The sequence below is a fragment of the Homo sapiens genome, chromosome 20, assembly GCF_000001405.40.
Source record: "Homo sapiens chromosome 20, GRCh38.p14 Primary Assembly".
NCBI classification, from domain to species: domain Eukaryota; kingdom Metazoa; phylum Chordata; class Mammalia; order Primates; family Hominidae; genus Homo; species Homo sapiens.
The window spans coordinates 49594180-49617189 of NC_000020.11; the positions used below are offsets into that span (position 1 = coordinate 49594180).

A 23010-nucleotide genomic window follows, 5' to 3' on the forward strand; every position below is an offset into this window, starting at 1 on the left:
ACATGTTAAACACTCAAAGGATTTCTGTTGCATGAATTAGTGAAATCCGAGCTGGAAGGGCCTCTAGAGCCCAGGGTTGCAAACTCATAGACTCCAAAAGCCAGGCAGGAGCCAGAAACCACCGAGGGAGCTGGGTGGGGACGGAGGCAGCTGCTACTCAGCTCTAGTCACAAGCACTGCCATATCTGGTTTCTCAAGAAAAACCAGAAATCTAGAGATTTACAAGAAGTTTCCCAATTTCTAAGTATTGGCAACTAATTTAAAACATTTAAACACATCTGTGGACGGGATGTGGCTGCAGGCCGTTTCTTTGCAACTCATGATTCATCTAACTGCTCGTGGCACAGATGAGATCAAAGCCCAGAGAAGGTGAGCCACCAGCCCCAGGTCACAGAGCACAGGAAGTGAAGAGGAAACAGTGACCTTTCTCCTTCGGCTGCAGCCCTGTTGCCCAAGCTCAGGGCAACCCCTGAGCCCTGATCCCAAGGGAGGCAGTGCCGCCTTCTCCTCTAGGCCTGGCAGTTCCAGGGTGACAGGAAGGTCACGATATCTCTGTTTGGGTGCACTGCAGCCTCCGCTTCCTGCCAGGACCAGGCTGTATCAGGCACTGGGATGAAGAAAACATTCCAAGCAATGGGCTGGCCTAGAAGGTAAGAGCTGGTGGCAGAGAGGGGGTAAGCACACCCCTTCCTTACTTCAGGGACGTGCAAACCCCTTCAGCAGGCCTGGGCAGAGCTGGGAACAGGGCGGATCAAGCCCTGCTTCTGGAGAAACATGCTCTGCCATTGGAGGCTGGGAGCTCTGTCCCCGCATGGCTCGTAGGACCTTGGAATGCATTTGTCCAGCAGCTTCTAATACACCAGGCCCTCATCTGACCCGCACCCCCACAACCTCCATGGGCTCTCCTCCCTCTGTCCCCTCTTGATCTCTCTACGCAGGCACAATGGTGCCTGCTCAGCCCTGAACACAGCAGCCCTGCTCCCACCTCAGGGCCTTTGCACACGCTATTCCCTCTGCCTGGTTCACTTCACCCATTATGCAGATGGCTTACTGTAGACCTCTACTTGAATGTCGCCTTCTCTGTGAGACCCTCCCTACCTGTTCACTCTGTTTAAAAATGCAAACATCCCCCACAGTCCTTAGCCTCCATCTGGCTTCCTTTGACCCTGCTGTGCTTAGGATGGTGGGACACATATGTTACACGTGTTTATTTGTGTTTCCCTTTCCTGTTGCTGCTGTAACAAATCGCCGTGAACTTGGGAGCTGGAAATAACATGAATGTGTGAGCTTACAGTTCTGGAGGGCTGAAGCCCACAGTGGGTCTCAGCAGGCTAAAATCAAGGTGTGGGCAGGACCACGTTCCTTCTAGAGGCTCACAGGGAGAATCCGTTCCTCCAGCTTCTCAAGGCCACCTGTATTCCTGGGCTCACGGCTCCAACCTCCATCTTCAAAGCCAGCAACGGCGAGGCCATCTTTCCCATGCTGCATCCCTCCGCCTGCAACACCTCTGCTTCCCTCCTGCACTAAGCCCCTTGTGATGACACTGGGTCACGATGTCATCATCTGGGTAATCCAGGGTCGTCTCCCCCAGCTCAAGGAGACTGCTCAGCAGCCTCCATTCCCCTTGGCCGTGTAACCTTGTACATTCACGGGTTCCAGGGATGAGGACGTCTTGGGGAAGGGCGCATGAGTCTGCTGACCACACACACCAAACACACCAGGCGTTGGCTCCAGGAAGGCACGTGGTTTGCTGCTTTATGTATGTCCAATGCCTGGTGCATAGCAGGTGCTCAGTAGACCCTTGGAGACTGCGTGGGTGCTGGAGTAGAATGTTGTGGCCGCCAAAGGGAGGCAGGAAAGGTGACTCAGCTACCCCAGTGGTCCTCCCCGTCTTACTGATGAGGAGACTCGGGGAGAGCTGAGATGCTGAGGGCTGAAGAGCTGTGACTTAGCCCCTACCCTTCCACACCCATCCTGTGCCCACAAAGAGGGGTGGGCCCTGGGCTGTGTCGGGGAGCCCCAAAGAGAAGGCCTGAAGTCCGGCAGCTTTAAAGGGGACAGTCCTGGCCATGAGCCCTCTCTCTGAGCGCCCCTCACAACCCCTACAAGCTCCCCTCCCAAGGCTAGGCCAGCAGTGCCTGCAGGGGGCTGCCCAGGCGTGGTCCTGCCATGTGGGAACTGCCTGTGTGGCCCAGCAGGACCCAGATGAGTCACAGGAAAGCTGGGGTGCCCTCCCTCCAGCCCCACGTGTCTCCCTGGCTTCAAAGGAAACCGACTGAGGGTCCAAGTTTCCTCATGACTGAAAAATGTTCCACCCCAAAAATGTTCCACATGAGCAACAGCTCACCCAGAAAGAAAGAGAAATGAAGTAAGTGGCTTTTCAGCATGGGGAGAGACACTTGGCCATGCACAGCTACAGGCAGAGATCTGGGAAACAGAACGCCGGGGAAAGCAAGTGAGGAACAGGAGAACTCTGCAAATCAGAACACTCATCATAAAATAATTCTGCTTGTTTCACAAGGACACATATACATCCAGGGACATATATCATGGGCCTCGGTATGGAGGCTCAAGGAGAAAACAAAACAAAATAATTTATTTTGTTTTAAATTATTATTATTATTTGAGACGGAGTCTCGCTCTTGTTGCCCAGGCTGGAGTGCAATGGCCTGATCTCAGCTCACTGCAACCTCAACCTCCCGGGTTCAAGCGATTCTCCTGCCTCAGCCTCCCCAGTAGCTGGGATTACAGGCTCGCGCCACCACGCCTGGCTGATTTTTGTATTTTTAGTAGAGATGGAGTTTCACCATGTTGGCCAGGCTGGTCTTGAACTCCCGACCTCAGGCGATCCACCCGCCTCAACCTCCCAAAGTGCTGGGATTACAGGCGTGAGCCACTGCGCCTGGCCTAAATTATTATTATATGTTTATTTTGTTTTAAATTATTTTTATATTTTACAATGGAGCTTCCTGACATGTGACAATGATGCTACGGTTTTTTGTTGCTGTTTTTTTGTTTGTTTTTGAGATAGAGTCTCACTCTGTCACCCAGGCTGGAGTGCAGTGGCACAATCTCGGCTCACTGCAGCCTCTACCTCCCACGTTCAAGAGATTCTCCTGCCTCAGACTCCCGAGTAGCTGGGAGAACAGGTGCCCACCACCACGCCTGGCTAATTTTTTGTATTTTTAGTAGAGACAGGGTTTTGCCATGTTGGCCAGGCTGGTCTCAAACTCCCGACCTCAGGTGATCCGCCACCTCGGCCTCCCAAAGTGCTGGGATTACAGGCGTGAGTCACTGCGCCTGGCCAATGACACTATGCTTCACTGAACAAGCAAAAGGTACTCTGCTTCACTCTTCATTTAAAAATAGAAACTGAAACCATACTGAGACACCTGCTTCCATCTATTAGAGTGACAAAAACATCAGAAAGTTCACAATACATGGTGCTGATGAAGTTGTGGGGAAACAGGCACCCTCACACATTGTTGGTGGGAGAATAAATTGGTACAACCTCTACAAAGTGCAGTTTGGTCATATGGATCAAAATGTAAAATGCACAAATCTGTTATAAAATCTGACTTCCAGAGATTTCTCCCACAGATACATTCACACACACACACACACACACACACACACACACACACACACACCACACTATGTACAAAGACAGTCACCACAGTATTGTTTGTAGTTGTTGTTGTTTTGAGACAGGGCCTTGCTCTGTCAGGCTGGAGTGCAGTGGCGCAATCACAGCTCACAGCAGCCTTAACCTCCTGGGCTCAGTGACCCTCCCACCTTAGCCTCCTGAGTAGCTGGAACCACAGGCACGCACCACCACAACCAGCTTGTTATTTCATTTGTAAACATGAAGTCTCTCTATGTTGCTGTGGCTGGTCTCAAGCTCCTGGGCTCAAGCAATCCTCCAGCCTCAGCCTCCCAAAGTGCTGGGATTATAGGCGTGAGCTTCTGTGCCTGGTCCACAGTATTGCTTTATAACAGAAAAGGCTGGAAACAACCTAAAGGGCCATCAGTAAGAAAATAACTATTAATGAATATGGTCCGGCCATGCAGTGGAATACTATGCAGCTGTGAAAAAGGACAACACAGGTATGTGTGATGAATTAGAAAGAATGATAGGTATGTTAGGTTAAAAAAAGCAAGCTGCAAGACACTGGGTGTAACATGCATCTATATATGTAAATAAAGAGTGCATACAATCATGTGTGTTTTCGTACGTACAGACTTTCAGTGGCAGAGCCCGTGGGAAACTGGAAGCAGCATTGCTTAGGGAAAGTGAAACCTGGGGGTTAAGGGTGGGGAGAGACACTCGTTTTCATTGGATACTTTTTTCTGTCATTGAATTTTTTCCCATTTAAATGTCTTACCTATGTTTTAAACATAATTTTTAAAATATAAAAGCAATGCTCACTTGTCACAAAATCTAAGCAATGAAATGCAAATGATATGAAACCAGTTGTCCCTAACCACTCCCCTGAAATCACTACTATTAACATCTTTCCAGAGTTAACAAAAGGTCTTAAGTTTAGATATGCTTCTTTTTTTTTTTTTTTTTTTTTTTTTGAGACAGAGTCTCACTCTGTCACCCAGGCTGGAGTGCAGTGAAACAATCTTGGCTCACTGCAACCTCTGCCTCCTGGGTTCAAGCAATTCTCTGCCTCAGCCTCCCGAGTAGCTGGGATTACAGGCGCCCACCACAATGCCCAGCTAATTTTTGTATTTTTAGTAGAGACAGGGTTTCACCATCTTGGCCAGGCAGGTCTTGAACTCCTGACCTCGTGATCCACCCGCCTTGGCCTCCCAAAGTGCTGGGATTACAGGTGTAAGCCACCGCACCCGGCCTAGATATGCTTCTATATTATTCGAACTTGTGCAACAGGCTGTGTGATTTGAAATTAAACACAAGGGCCAGGCACAGTGGCTCATGCTTGGAATCCCAGCACTTTGGGAGGCCAAGGCAGGTGGATCGCTTGAGTCTAGGAGTTCAAGACCAGCCCGGGTGACATGGCGAAACCCCATCTCTAAAAATAATAAATAAATAAACAAATAGATAGATAGATAAATAAAGGAAATTGAACACAAAACCTCCCTTTTGAGTCAACGATTATCAAGGAGGCTGTTATAGTTGCAGAGGTGGCCTGGACAGAGTGGTGGCCATAGAGACAGAGAAGTGGCCAGTTGTAGGAGCAAATGTCACAGGTTCAACTGACAGGGTCAGACGCACAGGCAGGGAGAAACAGGAGGGAGGACATGCCATGAGCTCCCTTGTCTAGGCCCACACTGAGGTGACACGGCCCAAGTGCCCCAGCCCGACAGGGTAGACTGCGATCAGGGTCAGGAATTCAGTGAGGCAGGTCCTGGAGCACTGGGAGGGGGTACGAGGGTCTCAGATATCTGGGGCTGGGACTCTTGAGGTCATAGCAAGATAAGTGGATGACATACTCAGTTTCAAGAGTTAAACCCCAGATTTACATGGCTGCCTGGAGTCTGGATTCACTGGTGTGAAATTTGGAGGGAGATGACGATAATAAGAATACTAATACTAACAGTAACAATAACTATCATAAGAACAGAGGCCAACACTCTGTAGCACTTACTACAGGCCAAGTGCTATATACGTGTTAACTCATAATCCCACAATCACCCTCTAGATATAGGTGGGTATAGAGAAGCATGCCCCCATTTCACAGATGAGAAAACTGAGGCCCAGAGAGGTGAAGTAATTTGCCCACGGTCACACAGCTTGTATGGGATAGAGAAGGGCAGGGCGTATCACTGAACAAAATGGAGGTCCCTTCACCCCAGAGTTGCAAACCCAGCCTCCCTCACTCCCACTACCCCTCTGGGCCTCACTGCATGGATGGACAGTGGCAACAACCCCTCCTGGGCCTCCCTGACTCTACCCTCGTCCCCCATTCCCCACAACAGTCCCTTCTCTATCCAGCGGCCAGAGCGATCTTCCTAAAGTTCTAGTCTCATCTTCCCTTGGTCTGCTCTCAGGCAGGGCCAGGCATTAGGTGAGGCCAGCAGGTGCCGGCACAATGTCAGGAGACCCCCCTCCCAGGTGAGCCCCTGCTCTGGCCTGATTCACAGCGAGGCCTCCTTAGGTTTTGAACACTCAGTGTCCCTCTTGCACAGATGGGAACAGACAGTCTCTGGAATCCCCCCAAAGCCGCATTTGAAGTTTCTTTCCAGGCAGACAGGCCCTTTCCAGGCGGATGGCTGCTTCAATCCAGATGAGGATGGAGGCCTGGGGATCTGGCAGCTCTGGGCTGATGGCACCACGTCCAGGGGAGAGGTTTCTGTTTTCCTGCAGTGGTTCTCTGGCCTATGCTTGCTGGATGGGGGTGTTGGTAAATCCTCCAGCTTCCTGGGGCCTGGGGAGGAGCAACCCTGAGGTGGACTCTGCACCCACTCCCAGAGGCCCCAGCAGGACGGAGCCCCAGCTGCCCAACTGATAACCTGCTCATCTAGACACCCAGCAGTACCAGCTGCCCCCTCCCCTCTGCTCTCAGAGCTTCCTGCGATCAGCTCCCCGCTAAGTTCCCTGCCCTTGGACTCTCTAAGTGTCTGCTTCTGGAAGAGGCCCAAGCCAAGACCTGGGAGACAGGTCAGTGGCTCAGGGCTCTGTGGCTCATGATATCTGCAGTATTCTCTCTGTGGCCTGGGTCTTCCTGTCTTCTGGGTGATCCCTCGGCCTTTGGGAGGCCGAGGTGGTTGGATCACCTGAAGTCAGGAGTTTGAGACCAGCCAGCCTGTCCAACATGGTGAAACCCCGTCTCTACTAAAAATACAAAATTAGCCAGGCATCATGGGGCACACCTGTAATCCCAGCTACTCGGGAGGCTGAGGCAGGAGAATCGCTTGAACCCCGGAGGGGGAGGTTGCAATGAGCCAAGATCACGCCATTACACTCCAGCCCGGGCAACAAGAGTGAAACTCTGTCTCAAAAAAAGGAAAAGAAGAGAAAAGAAAAGAGAGAAGAAAAGAAAAGAAGGCAAGGAAGTTCCATAGCCCATACAGTGGGTATCTTAGGCAGGGCTCTATCAGATGAAAAATATAGCAGAACCCTGACTCAAATTGGCTGATGTCATGAGAATTTACGTCAACTGTCTCTGGTAAAAGCAGGAGTAGAGATAGGCTTCAGGCATGGTTGGATCCAGATGCTAAATCAATGTCTACAAAGATGCACTACCTCTGGCTCTCATCTCTTTTACTCCACACAGACTCTCCAGGTCATGATGTGACCAAGGTTGCCCCTTGCCACTCCCAGCTTTATTCTCACCAGCTCAGCAACCCCAGGGAAAAGGGAGCACCAATTTCCAATTGTTTCAGAACAAGGTCAGTGGCAATGTTACTCAAACTCGAACGTGCCCATGTTCACACTGGGGCCCTGGGGACTATGATAAAATGCAGATTCTGGCTCATAGGTTTGGGGTGGGGACTCAGATGCTGCATTCACTGCATTTTTTTTAAGATAGAGTCTTGCTCTGTTGCCCAGGCTGGAGTACAGTGGCATGATCACAGCTCACTGCAACCTCCACTCCTGGCCTCAAGTAATCCTCCTGCCTCAGCCTCCCAAGTAACTGGGACTTCAGGTGCATGCCATTATACCCAGTTAATTTTTGTATTTTTTGTAGAGACCTGGTCTTACTGTGTCACCCAGGCTCGTCTTGAACTCCTGAACCCAAGTGATCCACCCACCTCGGCCTCCCAAAGTGCTAAGATTACAGGTGCGAGCCACCCCGACCAGCCCAGATGCTGCATTTCTAACAAGCTCCCAGGTGCTCCTTGTGCTGCTGATCTGGAACCATACGTTGAGTAGGAAGGTCTTTGCATGATGCCATTCCTCTCAGCTAAAAGCACATTGTAGGCCAGGCATGGTGGTTCACGCCTATAATCCCAGCACTTTGGGAGGCCGAGGCAGGTGGATCACCTGAGGTCAGGAGATCGAGACCAGCCTGGCCAACATGGCGAAACTCTGTCTCTACTAAAAATACAAAAATTAGCTGGGCGTGGTGGCGGGCGCCTGTAATTCTAGCTACTCTGGAGGCTGAGGCAGTAGAATCACTTGAACCCGGGAGGCGGAGGTTGCAGTGGGCTGAGATTGCAGCATTGCACTCCAGCCTGGGTGATGAGAGCAAACCTCCATCTCAAAAAAAAAAAAAAAAGCACATTGTATACATATGCAGAATATTCATCTAAAGAAAAATCGTAATCAAAATTAAAAAGTAAAAGCACATTGTGCACACACAGGAAACTATTGCTGCATCCCAAGAGTCCCGCATGCAGTAGCTCATCAACTGGTCACAAGGACGTTAGAGGTGGGTGCTCTCATTACCTCATTTCTCCACAAGGCCCAGACACATTCCCAAGCCTGCACAGCTGGGAAGCAGCGAAGCTGCTTTGACCCCAAGTAATGAATTCTCCAGATGGAATAAACAAGGGCCCTGCTGATGGCCCTTAATGCTCTTTGCAATCCTCCTCTATTACAAAACCACCGTGCTGAGCAACCCCACAGGTGCGTGTGTTTGTAAGCATGCACTAGTAGGTTTGGGGAAAGAGATTCCTACAGGCGAAATTGCTGTATCAAAAGATGATGTATGGTTCTATTATTGCTAGGGGCTGCCAAAAGGGAAAGAGACTGCCCATTTCCCCACATCCATGCCAGAACTGCATGTTCTTGTTTTTGCCACTCTGGGGAGAGGCGCCCTTCCTCATGGCCCTAGGAAGGTAGTGAAGTTATGTCCCAGCCCCAGGTAGGCAGCCTCCTTCCTGCAAGGGGTCATCCAGGGAGCACCCTGTGCCAGCCCACCTCTGGGCATCCTGTTGTCATGGAAATATTTCAAGGCCTGCTTTCATCCTGAATAGCAACTTCAGTGGAAAGAGAAGGCCTCTGTTATGGGCTAAATTGTGGTCCCTCAAAATTCATATGTTGAAGTCCCAACCCCCAAGACCTGAAAATATGACTGCATTTAGAGATGGGGTCTTTAAAGAGGTGGTTACGTTTAAATGGTTGTTAGGGTGGGCCCTAATCCAGTCTGCCCGGTGTCCTTATAAGAAGAACAGACCTCAGGAGCGCACATGCACAGAGGGATGACCGTGTGCAGAGGCAGCAAGAGGGTCGCCATCTGCAGGCCAAAGAGAGAGGCCTTGACGGAAATCAACCCTGACAGCCGGCATCTCGAGCTTGGACTTCCAGCCTCCAGCACTGTGAGATAATAACTGTGTTGCTTAAGCCACCCGGTCTGTGGTCTTTTGCTATGGCAGTTCTAGCGAACAAATATAGTCTCTTTCCCTGCACACCTAGAAGAGTTCCTGGGAAGATGCCCATATGCCTGGCTTGGTTCACTTCCCGTCTGTTACCAATTGCTGTGGCCACCAGATGCTGAACTCTAATCGGTCAGGCCTTGGCCAAGTGCTCATCCCTGGAGCTAGGGATGGGCTCAGCCTGCCAACCTGGGTTCACTTTTCCTTGTTTGATTAAAAATTTTAATTTAAAGCAAGTGACGGCTGGATGCAATGGCTCACTTCTATAATTCCAACCTTTTGGGAGGCCAAGGTGGAAGGATCACTTCAGCCCCAGAGTTCGAGACCAGCCTGGGCAACACAGCGAAACCTCAACTCTACAAAAAATATTTAAAACTTAGCCAGGTGTGGTGGCACCCACCTGTGGTCCCAGCCACTTGGGAAGCTGAGGTGGGAAGATCACTCGAGCCTGGGGGATCAAAGCTGCAGTGAGCTGTGATTGCACCACTGCACTACAGCCTGGGTAACAGAGCGAGACCCTGTCTAAAAAAAAAAAAGAAGAAAGTGAGGTCGAACCTGTGGCTAACAAGGGGATAATTTACATGTCTGAGCTCAAGTTCAGATGTACAAGTTGGATTCTCTTTTCTTTTTTGGGGGGTGGGGACAGAGTCTCACTCTGTCGCCCAGGCTGGAGTGCAGTGGCGTGATCTCGGCTTACTGCAACCTCCGCCTCCCGGGTTCAAGCGATTCTCCTGCCTCAGCCTCCCGAGTAGCTGGGATTATAGGCACCCGCCACCATGCCCAGCTAATTTTTGTATTTTTGGTAGAGATGGGGTTTCACCATGTTGGCCAGGCTGGTCTTGAACTCCTGACCTCAAGTGGTCCACCCGCCTCGGCCTCCCAAAGTGCTGGTATTACAGACGTGAGCCACTGCACCTGGCCATCAAAATTAGAAGTCTTTTTAAAAGTCCCTTTGATCCCACCCATGGTAGGCAAACCCTACCTCAGGCATCGGGTCAGGCTGCAATTTCCAACTCATATCTGCTTTTAGCCCCTGGAGATTTCACTTAAATCCTGTGAGCTCAGCCATCTATCCCCAAGATGCAGTTCCTCCAAGATACCTGGCAGGCACCCTGGCAGGAGGGTGTCACGGTTCTCTAACCTGGCTGACTACTGAGCCTCTGGGCTCCATGAGGACAGGATGTCTCTCTCACTCGCTGCTAGCCCAGTCCCTGGCACAGCCCTGGGGCTTGGCAAATATTTGTTGAATGAATAAACAGGCTGTGGCTTATAAGCTGGTTCAGATTCCAGCTCCCCACTCACTCCGCATGGAAGAATCACTTCAATCCTCCAAGCCCCCCGTTCTTCATCTGCATGGGGGATATTTTGTTGTTATTGTTGTTTTTTAAACTTGGGATTTTTTTTTTTTTGAAAAATAGAACAGATACAGATACAAAAACCACACAGCATAAGCATGTGACTTAATGATTTATTATAAGGCAACTGAACACCCTCGTGACCACCTCTAGGTCAAGAAATGTAACTTTGCCTGCCACCCCTGGAAACCCCTGCAGAACCCTGTCCTCTCAAAGCCCTGCCCCTCCCAAAAGTCACTGCTACCCTAAGTGTTATGGATATCACTTGTGTTTCTTTCTTGTTTTACCAACCATGTGAGCAGCCCCAGACACTATACTTAATCTTGCCCACTTTTTAAAAACTTGATGTCTCTTTTAGTTTCTATTCCTCCTCCATCCCTTTCTTTTCCTTACAATTTACCTGCGCAGTACCTGGGCCATTTAACCTGCAGAGATCCCTGGGTCTGGGTTAGGCTGATGACAGCACCGTGTCATGGTTCAACACGTTCTGTCCTTGGGATTTTCTGTAAAACGGCAGCTGGATCCTGAGGCTACACCAGGGATGTTTCCAAGCTTCTGCCCTCACGGGTCGTGGTGAGAATTGAAGGGGGATGGGTGAGTGTTTGATATCAGCGAGCAGCCCCCAGAAGCAGCCGCCAAGGCTGTTCGGAGATGCTCACGAGGCCTGAACATGGACAGCCCGAGGGACATCCCATCTCAACAGTCCATCCTGGCTTCTCTCCCCACCCAGACCCACCCACCCCACTTTGGGAAAGTTCTAGGGCCATGGCTGGCTCATCCCAGCGAGAGCTGGCAGCAGAATGGCCTGTAATTTTAGCTGTTTCTCTTCCCTAAAATTATTTCCCATCTGGAAATGGTTTCCCAACCCTGCCCAGGAAAGAGTTGGTGGTGCAAGGAACATTTTTCTATTAAAAAAAAAAAATAGGGGCCGGGCACTGAGGCAGGAGAATCGCTTGAACCCGGCAGGCGGAGGTTGTGGCGAGCCAAGATCGTGCCACTGCACTCCAGCCTGGGCAACAGAGCAAAACTCCGTCTCAAATAAATATATAAAACCAGCCACCAAACACTGAATCTTTGCAGCCCAGGCTCTGGAGGCCTGGCTGAGTGCCAGCTGTATACCCTGCCTTGAGGGAACTCTGTCAGCGAGGAGCAGAGGGTGAGAGGGCATAGTCAGGGCTCTGCTGCCAGGATACCCCCACCCACCCAGTACATTCGGACAAGGACTTTGTTGCAGGGCCTGGGACAGCCCCAGGCGAGCTGAGAAGGATCCGACCTGGGGTTGAGTGGCCTGCCCAGCTGCTGCCACACTCGAGGTCTGTGGGTTATTCTAGGTCCCACAGGGCATGAAATCACAGAGCAGAAGTTCTTCCTATGGGGATTCTCTTGCAGCTGCTCTGAGCATTTCAAGAAAAAAAAAAAATCCCTGCCGCTAACATCTCCCCATCACCTCGCTAATTCTCTTCTTTCTTTCCTTTTTTTTTTTTTTTTTTTGAGACGGAGTCTCGCTCTGTGGCCAGGCTGGAGTGCAATGGTGCCATCTCAGCTCACTGTAACCTCTGACTCCCTGGTTCAAGCGATTCTCCTGCCTCAGCCTCCTGAGTAGCTGGGATTACAGGTGCCCGCCACCACACCCAGCTAATTTTTGTATTTTTAGTAGAGACGGGGTTTCACCATGTTGGCCAGGATGGTCTTGATCTCCTGACCTCGTGATCCGCCCACCTCGGCCTCCCAAAGTGCTGGGATTACAGGCTTGAGCCGCCGAACTCTCTTCTTTCTAACAAAGTTCTCACAGGCCCCTGACTCCTGACTGTGCAAGCAAGAGCATCTGGCAAGAATATCATGATATTTTTTAGCACTTCTTGTACTTATTTTCATAATTTTTTTTTTGAGACAGAGTCTCACTCTGTCACCCTGGCTTGAGTGCAGTGGCACCATCTCAGCTCAACCTGCAACCTCCGCCTCCTGGGTTCAAGTGATTCTCCTGCCTCAGCCTCCTTAGTAGCTGAGATTACAGGTGTGCACCACCATGCCTGGCTAATTTTTGTATTTTTAGTAGGGACAAGGTTTCACCATATTGGCCAGGCAGTCTTGAACTTCTGACCTCAGGTGATCTGCCTGCCTTGACCTCCCAAAGCGCTGAGATTACAGGCGTGAGCCGCCATGTCCAGCCTTATTTTCTTATTTCCTTTTTTTTTTTTTTAGACGGAAGCTCACTCTGTTGCCCAGGCTGGAGTGCAGTGGCATGATCTCGGCTCACCACAACCTCCGCCTTCTGGGTTCAAGCGATTCTTCTGCCTCAGCCTCCCAAGTAGCTGGGACTACAGGCATGCGCCACCATAGCTGGCTAATTTTTATATTTTTAGTAGAGTTGGGGTTTCACTATGTTGGCCAGGCTGGTCTCGAACTACTGACCTTGTTATCTGCCCACCTCAGCCTCCCAAAGTGCTGGGATTACAGGTGTGAGCCATCGTGCCTGGCACCCAGCCTTATTTTCATAACTGTTTTCATGATAAATGATATAGGTTTTCCATGTTTGCTAATGATATAAAGTTTCCTCTGCAGAAACAGGTTTAAAGAAAAATGTGGGCAGAAAGTCCGTTTAAAATATATATTAAGGAAAATAAAACACAGATAGCACAAAATCCAAAGCTACCTGGAGTTTTGGTGCCTGGAGCCATGGTGAAGAGGGCATACTCCAGATCTGAGGGCCCAGGCTTGCATTCTGGCTGTGACTCTGTGGGCCCTGTGATTTTAGGCAAGTCACTTGCCTTCTCTGAGTCATGGTGCTTTACCTGTAAAAGAAAGGAAAATAATAACACCTCCTTCCTATGATGATCTCTGAGAATTCAATAAAACAATGCTGAGAAGACACTCAGCCCAGTACCAGGCACATGGGTTGCATTTAATTCTGTCAGAACACAAGGTGGGTGCTATTTTTATTCCTGTTGGGAAGCTGAGGCCCAGAGAGGTCATCTAGCCCATCCAAGGTTGCACAGCTTGTAGGTGGTGGAGGTGGAACTAGAACCCACAAAGTTCTAATGTGAGACTGGGATTTGTGCTCTTAAACCACTGTGCTGCTATTGGCAGATCCATCTATCCACCCATCCATCTGTCCGTCCATCCATCCATCCATCCATCCATCCACCCACCCATCCATCCATCCACCCACCCACCCATACATTCATTCATTTGGTCAGAATTCATGGAATTGTTCTGAGTTCATGGTGTTTTCTCAAAAAGCAGCAAAGTGCAGAAGTTCCCAGAGTAGGTTCAAATCCCAACCTGCCATGTACAGGACACCTGGGCAAGTTGTCCCACCTCTCCGAGCCTCAGCTTGCCCATCTGGAAGAGGGGAACATTGATAGCCCTTTGAAATTCCCGCAGGAGGTAGAAGACTGTTTTCTGGGACTTCACAGTGTCCTACGTGCCCTGCATCTGACCCCATGGTCTGCGTTCACCTCTAAGTCTCAGTGAATCAAGCTCCGCCATATGTCTGCCTCATCCTGCCTCCCTCCTCCCTTTCACTCCAATTTAGCCAGACTCAGCCATTGGGGTTCCCTGAACAGCCCCTGGGCCTTTGTACACTTTGTTCCTCCAGCCCGAAATGTCCTCTTGCTTCCATCTGGTAACCATGATTCCTCCCTGAAAAATCAGGTGGGCTTCCCCCTCTGCCCCAGGAGCATCCCCTGAGGCTGAGCCAAGCTCTGCCTTTCTGGGCTCCCCCAGCTCCCCGCTTCTCTGACATGGAAAGGTCATGGATGTAATAACTTAGACAAACTCTTGTGCTCTGCCACTGTCCACCTTCTTGGTCACAAATGTCTGCTTCCCTTCTTTCATGCAGGTACATGCACCCCTCTGCAAACGAGTCCACACACATGTTTTTACACAATCATGGCATGTGATCCGAAGGCATGAGATCTGCCTTCGTACATGCAACATGCAATGGTGGAACGGCATTACCTCTGGCTAGTGACCTCTCCTGGACTCAGCTATCACCTCTGCAGAAAGGGGGCAGTAACAGGACCTGCCGCACATCTGCTGTCATGAAGACCACATGAGCTAATATATGTGGGAAGCCCTTAGCACAGCGCCTGGGAGAGCATAAGCGCTCGATGCAAGGCAGAAGAAAGGCGTGTCCTGGTGTGACAGGGCCCTTCCGACCAGGGCTGGTACTAAGGTGAGAAAAGCGAGGTGCCTACCGTGCAAAATGTAAGGCAGCGTTCACTCTCAGAGCAGTGCACCTGCCGCTGGGTCCTCGGAGCCACAGAGCAGTCCCGCTCGCCCCCTGCTGGTCACTCTGCAGAATGACGTCCCTTCCCTCTGCTCTCAGGGGTCCCTGAGCCTCGGTTTCTTCACCTGTAAGGTGGGGTAGGAGAATCTGCCTCTCAGTTTGCAGGGCAAACAGGAGGCACTCCTCCAACATCAGTGTCCTCCTCTCAATGCCAGCACTTAATGAGCACCTACTATGTGCAAAGAAAGATGACTGAGACATGATCCCTACCCTTCAGGGGTTTAGCGAGTGGAGAGGGGAGGAGGTAGGCTGGGAACAGTGACTAAAGTAAGACACTTGTCCCTATGCAGCACCTACTGCTTACCCCAGAGCAGTCAGAACCACTGCCCTGGCATCTGTCCATCTGCATATGTTTACTAAGCACCTACTGTGTGCCTGAGCCCAGGCTCAGCTGTGGATTTACATGGATTAAGGGGTTTAATGCTGTCAGAACACAAGGTGGGTGTTCTTTTTATTCCTGTTGGGAAGCTGAGGGCCAGAGAGGTCATCTAGCCCATCCAAGCTTGCACAGCTTGTAGGTGGTGGAGGTGGAACCAGAACCCCCAAAGTTCTAATGTGAGGCTGGGATTTGTGCTCTTAAACCGCTATGCTGCTATTGGCAGATCCATCCATCCACCCATCCATCCACCTACCCATCCATCTATCCAACCATCCATCCATCTATCCATCCATCCCCATCCGTCCATCCACCCACCCATCCATTCATTCAACAAATATTCGTTGAGCACCTACTGAGTGCCAGACACAGTGCTGAGTGCTGGAGAGATGCCAGTGACCAGAAAGACACAGCCCATCCCTGCCCCCAGCAGCTGTTCACAAAGAGAGGATGGGCAATAAGCAAGACAAATAAGTAAAATATATGGCACTTGGTGATTCTTGCTGTATATAAAAATAGAGTAAAAGCTGTGCACGGTGGCTCACACCTGTAATCCCAGCACTTTGGGAGGCTGAGGCGGGAGGATCACCTGATCCCAGGAGTTTGGAACCAGCCTGGGCAACATAGCATAGTACAGACCCTGTCTCTACTAAAAACACAAAAAATTAGCTGGGCATGGTGGCTCATGCCTGTAGTCCCACCTACTTGGGAGACTGAGGTGGGAGGATTGCCTGAGCCTAGTCGAGATCGAGGCTGCAGTGAGCCGTGATTGTGTCACTGAACTCCAGTCCAGGTGACACAGCGAGACCCTTTCTCAAAAAGGCTGGGCGCGGTGGCTCACGCCTGTAATCCCAGCACTTTGGGAGGCCGAGGCTGGTGAATCACTTGAGGTCAGGAGTTTGAGACCAGCCTGGCCAGCATGGTGAAACCCTGCCTTTACTAAAAATACAAAAATTAGCTGGGCGTGGTGGCGTGCCTCTCAGGTACTCGGGAGGTTGAGGCACGAGAATCGCTTGAACCTGGGAGGTGGAGGTTGCAGTGAGCCGAGATCGCACCACTGCACTCCAGCCTGGGTGACAGAGCGAGACCCTGTCTTAAAAAAAAAAAAAAAAAAAAAAAAAAGGCAGCACAGAAGACTGAGAGGGTGGGGCTGGAGTGTGTTTCAATTTTAAATTAGGCCTTGAGGGCCATTGAGGGACCTTGGCTCTCATTGTGAGTGAGCTGGGAGTCATGGAGGGTTCTGAGCAGGGGAGGAGCCTGGCCTGACTTAGGCCCTTGCAGAATCACTCCACCAGGAGGCCAGAGTGTTAGGACCCAGGGTGGAGGCTGCGAGCTCGGGGAGGAGGTGACCGCACACAGGATGGCGGCTGGGCTTGGCGGGGCAGTGGAGTGGGGAGACAGAGTCTGGATGTATCCTGAAGGTGGAACAGACAGGATTAGCTGGTGGATGGGACATGTCGGTGGCAGACAGAGAGGAGTCGGGGATGAATGACTCCCTGAGCCTCTGGGGAGGGTGGAGCTGGCTGCCCTTAAGGCTAAGAAGGCTGTGGGCAGAGCAGGTTTCTGCGGGAGATGAGGAGTGGGTTGCGGATGCATTCACCCTGAGTTGCCTGGCAGTGTGGACGTGGAGTTTGGGTTTACCCTCGTGTTGACAGGTACACGCTCGCGGTGCGGTTATCACGCTGCTGCTGGTGTCACCACGCGGGCGCTGCAGGGACGGACCTTTCCCATCGCCAGGCTCTTCGGGGACTGCTGCAATGCCCCGTGCAGCCGCCAGGGAGCGCCCGAGCCGCACCCAGGACGCGCGGGGACCGGGTCATCCCGCGGGCTACCTGTGCGGGGCAGGACGCTTAGCCGCACCCTTGGCCTCCGACTACTCGGAGTCTGTTGCATTCCTCCTTCCCCCCGCGCGCCGTGTGACAGCCAAAACTGTCCCCAGACATTGCCAGGCGCCCCCTGGAGGGGAAAGTCGCCCCCACGGCAGTCAGAGCCATGGCCTGCGCAGCCACATTCATTTACTGAGCGCCTACTGTGTGCCTGCGTCTGGGCTCCGCAGGGGCTCACGGGGGTTTCTCCTTTTCATCCAGGTTTCTGTTCAGATGTCACCACCTCAGAAAGACCCTGTCCTAGACACGCTCCATTCAATGACCCGAAAGGATCTTGTTGAAATGTTAACTTATTACATTTTTGGGTTTTTGTTGTTGTTGTTTTTGGTTTTGCTTTGAGACAAGGTCTTGCTCTGTCACCCAAGCTGGAGTGCAGTGGCACAATCTAGGCTCACTGCAGCCTCAACCTCCTGGGTTCAAGTGATCCTTCCACCTCAGCCTCCAAGTAGCTGGGACCACAGGTGTGCACCACCACACCCGGCTATTTTTTTTTTTTTTTTTTTTTTTAGTAGAGACAGGGTCTCACTATGTTGCCCAGGCTAGTCTCAAACTTCTGGGTTCAAGTGATCCTCCTGCCTCTGCCTCCCAAAGTGCTGGGATTATGCCACTCTGCCTAGCCTTCTTTATTGTCTGTCTCCCCTACCCAGCAGACAAACCCCTGCCCTCTTAGAGTGCAACTTCCAGTGAGCCAGATGGTCACCTCTTTGAAGTGGTGGCATTTGAGTTGTGCCTTGAAGGATAGAAGCTGCCGATCATGGCAGAATTTGAAGAAAGGTCTTTCCTGGCAGAGGGAAAAGTCAGGGCGAAGGCCTAGGGGCTGCTCAAGTCCCTGCCTTAAGGCATTTAGAGCGTCCTGCCCAGTGGGTGATGGGTCCCCAGGCCACACACAGCTGCTGGCCGAGCGCCCCAAGTCATCAGGAAGCCATGTGGTGTGGACAAGGGCCAGGCAGCCTGGACACACAAAGGCCCATTGACAGCTGCATGGGAAAAGTCCAGGGCACCCAAGCCGGAAGCCCAAGGCTGGTCCCTCTTGTCAACTCCCAAGGAGCTTTGGGTGGGGACAATAGAAAAGCCAGACCTTCTCAGGAGACTCAAGTTTCCCTGGGGTGGGGCAAAAATGCAGGTGGCCTGGTCACTGGGACATGCAGGGCAGCTGTGTGAGGCTTTTGCAGTCCCCCAGCCCTGGTTCTAAGTCTAGCCCTGCCCCCTGCTAGCAGAGTGACCTTGGTCATGTCATGCTCCCTCTCAGACCCTAAGTTCCCTCATCTCTAACACAGGGTGAAAGCTGGGTGCAGTGGCTCACACCTGTAATCCCAGCATTTTGGGAGGCCAAAGTGGGTAGATCGCTTGAGTCCAGGAGTTTGAGACCAGCTGAGCAACATGGTGAAACCTCGTCTCTACAAAAAATACAAAAATTAGCTGGGCATGGTGGCACACGCCTGTAGTCCCAGCTACTCGGGAGGCTGAGGTGGGACAATCACTTGAGCTAGCAAGGTTGAGGCTGCAGTGAGCGAAGATCACGCAACTGCACTCCAGCCTGGGCAACAGAGCAACACTCAGTCTAAATAAATAAATAAATAAATACAATGGGGTGAAAAATAGAAGCAACCTTCCAGCAATGGTGTGAGACTGCCTGGGTAGAGTAGTGGGAACCAGGCCTGATTCAGCAGGTGTTTAAGAGCAGGTGGTCAGTTCCAGCAGTCAGCTATAGTGGCTGGCTGGAGTGGCCATCTGTGGCGGTCAGTAGTGGTGGTCGGTCATAGTAGTCAACTTTCATGGTCGGCTATCACGACACTAAGCATGAGGACCGTCAGGTGAGCATGGCTGGGGTGTTTGGTCAGACAGACCTGGGTTCCACAGGTCTCCTGCTTTCCAGTGTGGGGCAGATATGATCTCCTTTTTCCAAGCCTCTGTTCCTCCATCTGTAAGATGGGGATAATGAGAGCCCTACACAGGGCAATGACTGTGAAGCGCCCAGCACTGGGATTATAGAATGTTCCAGGGCTTTGGAGGGCAGCCTCAGAAGAGCAGGCCAAGGAAAGCGCAGGCCTCCCGACTGAAGGAGGTCTGCAGAGCCAGCAGGTAAAGAGTGGCTATAAACGAACAGGAGCTGGGCCTCCCTCCGCGGGCAGTGGGGACGCATGAGGGCATGTTCCCAGCCTGATAGCAGGAAGCATTTCTGGAAAAGCCCAGCTGAATAGTGAAGATAGCAGAGCAGGAATGTGAAGAACGCAGACCTGGGATCAGCTTGCTGGGCTCAAGTCCCCTGTACTAGCTGTGTGTCCTTGGGCAAGTTACTTGACCTCTCTGTGCCTTGGTTTCCTCATCTGTGAAACAGGGATAAGATCAACCTAACTAGGCTATGGGGTTGATGTGAGGTCCTGATGAGAGAATATTTCTACAAAGAATGACAGATAGGCTGAGGGCCTTAAACGATGACGCAGGCCAGGCATGGTGGTGTGTGCCTATAGTCCCAGCTACTAAGGAGGCTGAGGTAGGAGGATCGCTTGAGCCTGTGAGGTTGAGGCTACAGTGAGCCGAGATTGCACCACTGCACTCCAGCCTGGGTGACAGAGCCAGACCCTGTCTCAAAATAAATAAATGATGTTGGACTGAGAAAGCATCAACACTCACCCAGGCTCTGGGGGGAAGGTGGATGTGAGCAAGGCCAGGAAGAGCCAGGAGGAATAGGAGGCAACCCCTGTATGTTTGTGTGAGCGCAGCCAGGTGCCAGGGTCGGGGGCGGCAGGAGCAGAAACCCTGAGAATGTAAAACAATTCAGCAGCGGCCGGGCACGGTGGCTCACGCCTGTAATCCCAGCACTTTGGGAGGCCGAGACGGGCAGATCACGAGATCAGAAGATCGAGACCATCCTGGCTAACACGGTGAAACCCCGTGTCTACTAAAAATACAATAAAAATTAGCCAGGCGTGGTGGCGGGCGCCTGTAGTCCCAGCTACTCGGGAGGCTGAGGCAGGAGAATGGTGTGAACCTGGGAGGCAGAGCTTGCAGTGAGCCGAGATTGCGCCACTGTACTCCAGCCTGGGTGACTGAGCGAGATTCCATCTCAAAACAAACAAACAAACAAACAAACAAACAAACAAAAAATTCGGCAGCAGTGGCAATGGCCTCAGGGACTCTGAGAGCTACTAACACAGCCACCTGGACCCACATAGGAAAAGCAAGCATTCTGAGATCGGAAGTATGAACTTTGGCCTGGGACAATAGGGAGCCACTGAAGGTTTGGTAGTCAAGGGTCAGCCCCTCTTACCCTGAGAGTTGATATAACTAGGATACTCCACAGCTTCATCCCCAGCACCTACCTCGGGGCCTGCAACATAGTAGGTGCTCAGGGAAATGATTTTAAATGAAGAAATGCATTAATGGGTGAATGAGAAACTGGCTACTAAAAGCTGGCCTTATTTTGCCCTTCACCCACATAGCACTGGGTACCTCCAGGGACTTAGATACAGAGGGACCAGCAAAGGTAAATGTCCGGAGTGGGAACAAGCTCAGGGAGACAGAGGAGCAGTGAGGAGGCCAGAGAGGCTGGAGTAGAGAAAACAAAGGGAGAACGGGGAGGGGAGGCCCCGCGGAGGTGAGCCGGCTGGACCTCTCAAGGCCTTGCGAGTAGGGAATAGCGCTTTCTTCCAAGTGCAGTGGGAGCCTCCAGAGGGTTTGGTGGTTGTGTGTGTGTGTGTGTGTGTGGGGGGGGGGGGGTTTGTTTGATTGGTTTGTTGTTGTTGTTGTTATTGTTGTTGTTGTCGTCATTGTTTTTCAGACGAGGTGTTGCTCTGTCACCCAGGCTGGAGAGCAGTGGTGCAATCTCAGCTCACTGCAGCCTCGACCTCACAGGCTCAAGCGATCCTCCTACCTCAGCCTCCAGAGTAGCTGGGACTACAGGCACGCACCACCATGCCTGGCTATTTTTTTTATTTTTTGTGGAGACAGGGTCTCGCCATGTTGCCAGGGCTGGTCTCAAACTCCTGGACTCAAGCGATCCTCCCGCCTTGGCCTCCCAAAGTGCTTGGATTACAGGCATGAGACACCATGCCCAGACAGTTGCATTTTAAATCCTCCTATCAAAGAGCATAGGCATTATTATCCCCATTTCACGGATGAGGAAACTGATGCTCAGAGATTGAATGATTTACCTAAGGTCACACAGCTACGTAGAGACAGTGCCAGGATTCAGCCTCAGCCCATTGGGCTGTGGGATCTGCAGGGCTGGAGGGGATAGAACAATGCCAGCTGGAGCCAGCACTGCTCCCCATCTGCTAAGCTCTGCCCTACGACCTCTAGGTGACACTGGGTGTTGGCAGGCATGAAGGACCTACACCGTGGGACTGTGGGGAACACGACCAGGCCCTGATCAGTAGGTCTGCTGAGTCACCAGGCCTGGCCCAGAGCTAACCTCCGGCAGCCAGGAGCCGCCCCAGGGTCCGTCCTTGGTGCCCTGCCCAGCAGCTGCCAAGCACAGCCACTGCCACATGAGCTGGATGTCCTGCAGAAGCCAGAGTGACAAACTACCCCCAAATCTGCCCTCCTCCCTGTGCTGTGTGGCCTCTGGCAAGTCCCCTGCCCTCCCTGGCCTGCGGTGCACCTGCTGTCTCGTGCAAGCCCCAGGCCGCAGTGCCCCTCCCTTTGTGCTGGGTAGAATCCTGGCCAATTGCTGATACCGAGTTTAGACCGGAGGGCAGAAAGGCGGGACAGGTAAGTGCAGACAGTGGGGAAGGCTGTGGGCCCCACAGGACTAGACTCTTGTGGGTGTGGCGGAGGACAAGGCTGCCCATCAGAGCCCCAGGGGCCCAGGCTCCACCCAGGTAACAGGACACAAGAAGAGAGAGCCTCCTAAGCAGAACTCGGTTTCTATAAGCAAGACAGATAGATAGGGCAAGCCAGCTAGCATTTATTGAGCACTTAATATGTGCTAGGCATTCTACAGCTATTCTCTTACTTAATCTTCTCAATAGCGGGTGATGATCATGATGCATGGTGATTCCTGTTTTGCAGATGAGGAAACTAAGACCTAAAGAGGTAAAGTCCTTGCTCAAGGTCCCCAAGCCAGGAAGTGGCAGAGCCAGGGTGAAATCCAAGTCCTTGTCATTCCAGAGCCTCTGCCTGGACCTGGAAGCCCCTCAGACTCTAAAGCTCTAATCCCCCCCCAACCCCCCCAGCAAAGTGCAGCATTCAGGACTGAGCCTCAAGGGACCAGCCAGGTCTGATTGTGAACCTCAGAGCAAGGCAGGATTGTCAGTGCAGTAACGTGAGACTGGTGGGGCCTGATGGCCTCCTTGGGGACAGCCTGGGACAATCGCAAACAGAAGCTGGCTCTGTGCTGGAGCTTGCCCTGTCCTGGGGACCTCTCCCACCCAGGACGAGCTCACCTCAACATGTAAGTCACCTGGGACCCGAGGAGCCCATTCTAGGGATGTAAAACCTGAGGCCCAGAATGTCCCTCTAACGTGCCCAAGGTCACACAGAGAGTGAGCACACAATTGGTACTACTGGAACCCAGTTGCCTGTCTTGTGCAGCCTCAGTTTCTTTTCCTCCCGGGATCTCCTGTGTTAAAAAAAAAAACATACAACGTGGCCGGGCGCAGTGGCTCATGCCTGTAACCCCAGCACTTAGGGAGGCCGAGGTGGGCAGATCACCTGAGGTCAGGAGTTCAAGACCAGCCTGGCCAACACAGCGAAACCCTGTCTCTACTAAAAATACAAAAATTACCTGGGTGTGGTGGTGCCTGCCTATAGTCCCAGCTACTTGGGAGGCTGAGGCAGGAGAATCACTTGAACCTGGGAGGCAGAGGTTGC

General features: G+C 51.8%; 1 long non-coding RNA gene across 2 annotated transcripts, besides 3 other annotated features; it reads left to right on the forward strand.

Annotated features, from left to right (window-relative positions):
- The first annotated feature begins 390 nt into the window (after positions 1–390).
- Positions 391–9459, forward strand: LOC105372651 (uncharacterized). Of its 2 annotated transcripts, XR_001754713.2 has the most exons (4): positions 391–650; positions 7245–7359; positions 8275–8342; positions 9083–9459. It is a non-coding gene; the product is annotated as an uncharacterized LOC105372651 (long non-coding RNA). The 2 variants fall into 2 exon arrangements; XR_936822.3 differs by lacking the exon at positions 9083–9459 and having other exon boundaries at positions 8275–8574.
- Positions 1582–2082: an enhancer, noted in NCBI's record as "H3K4me1 hESC enhancer chr20:48212298-48212798 (GRCh37/hg19 assembly coordinates)". NCBI's record gives its function as "activates a minimal SCP1, AML or CMV promoter by ChIP-STARR-seq in primed H9 embryonic stem cells {active_cell/tissue: H9 hESC(primed)}" and the evidence as "EXISTENCE:reporter gene assay evidence [ECO:0000049][PMID:30033119]".
- Positions 16777–17277: an enhancer, noted in NCBI's record as "H3K4me1 hESC enhancer chr20:48227493-48227993 (GRCh37/hg19 assembly coordinates)". NCBI's record gives its function as "activates a minimal SCP1, AML or CMV promoter by ChIP-STARR-seq in primed H9 embryonic stem cells {active_cell/tissue: H9 hESC(primed)}" and the evidence as "EXISTENCE:reporter gene assay evidence [ECO:0000049][PMID:30033119]".
- Positions 17003–17122: a silencer, noted in NCBI's record as "silent region_12999". NCBI's record gives its function as "represses an Ori minimal core promoter by ATAC-STARR-seq in GM12878 lymphoblastoid cells {active_cell/tissue: GM12878}" and the evidence as "EXISTENCE:reporter gene assay evidence [ECO:0000049][PMID:35858748]".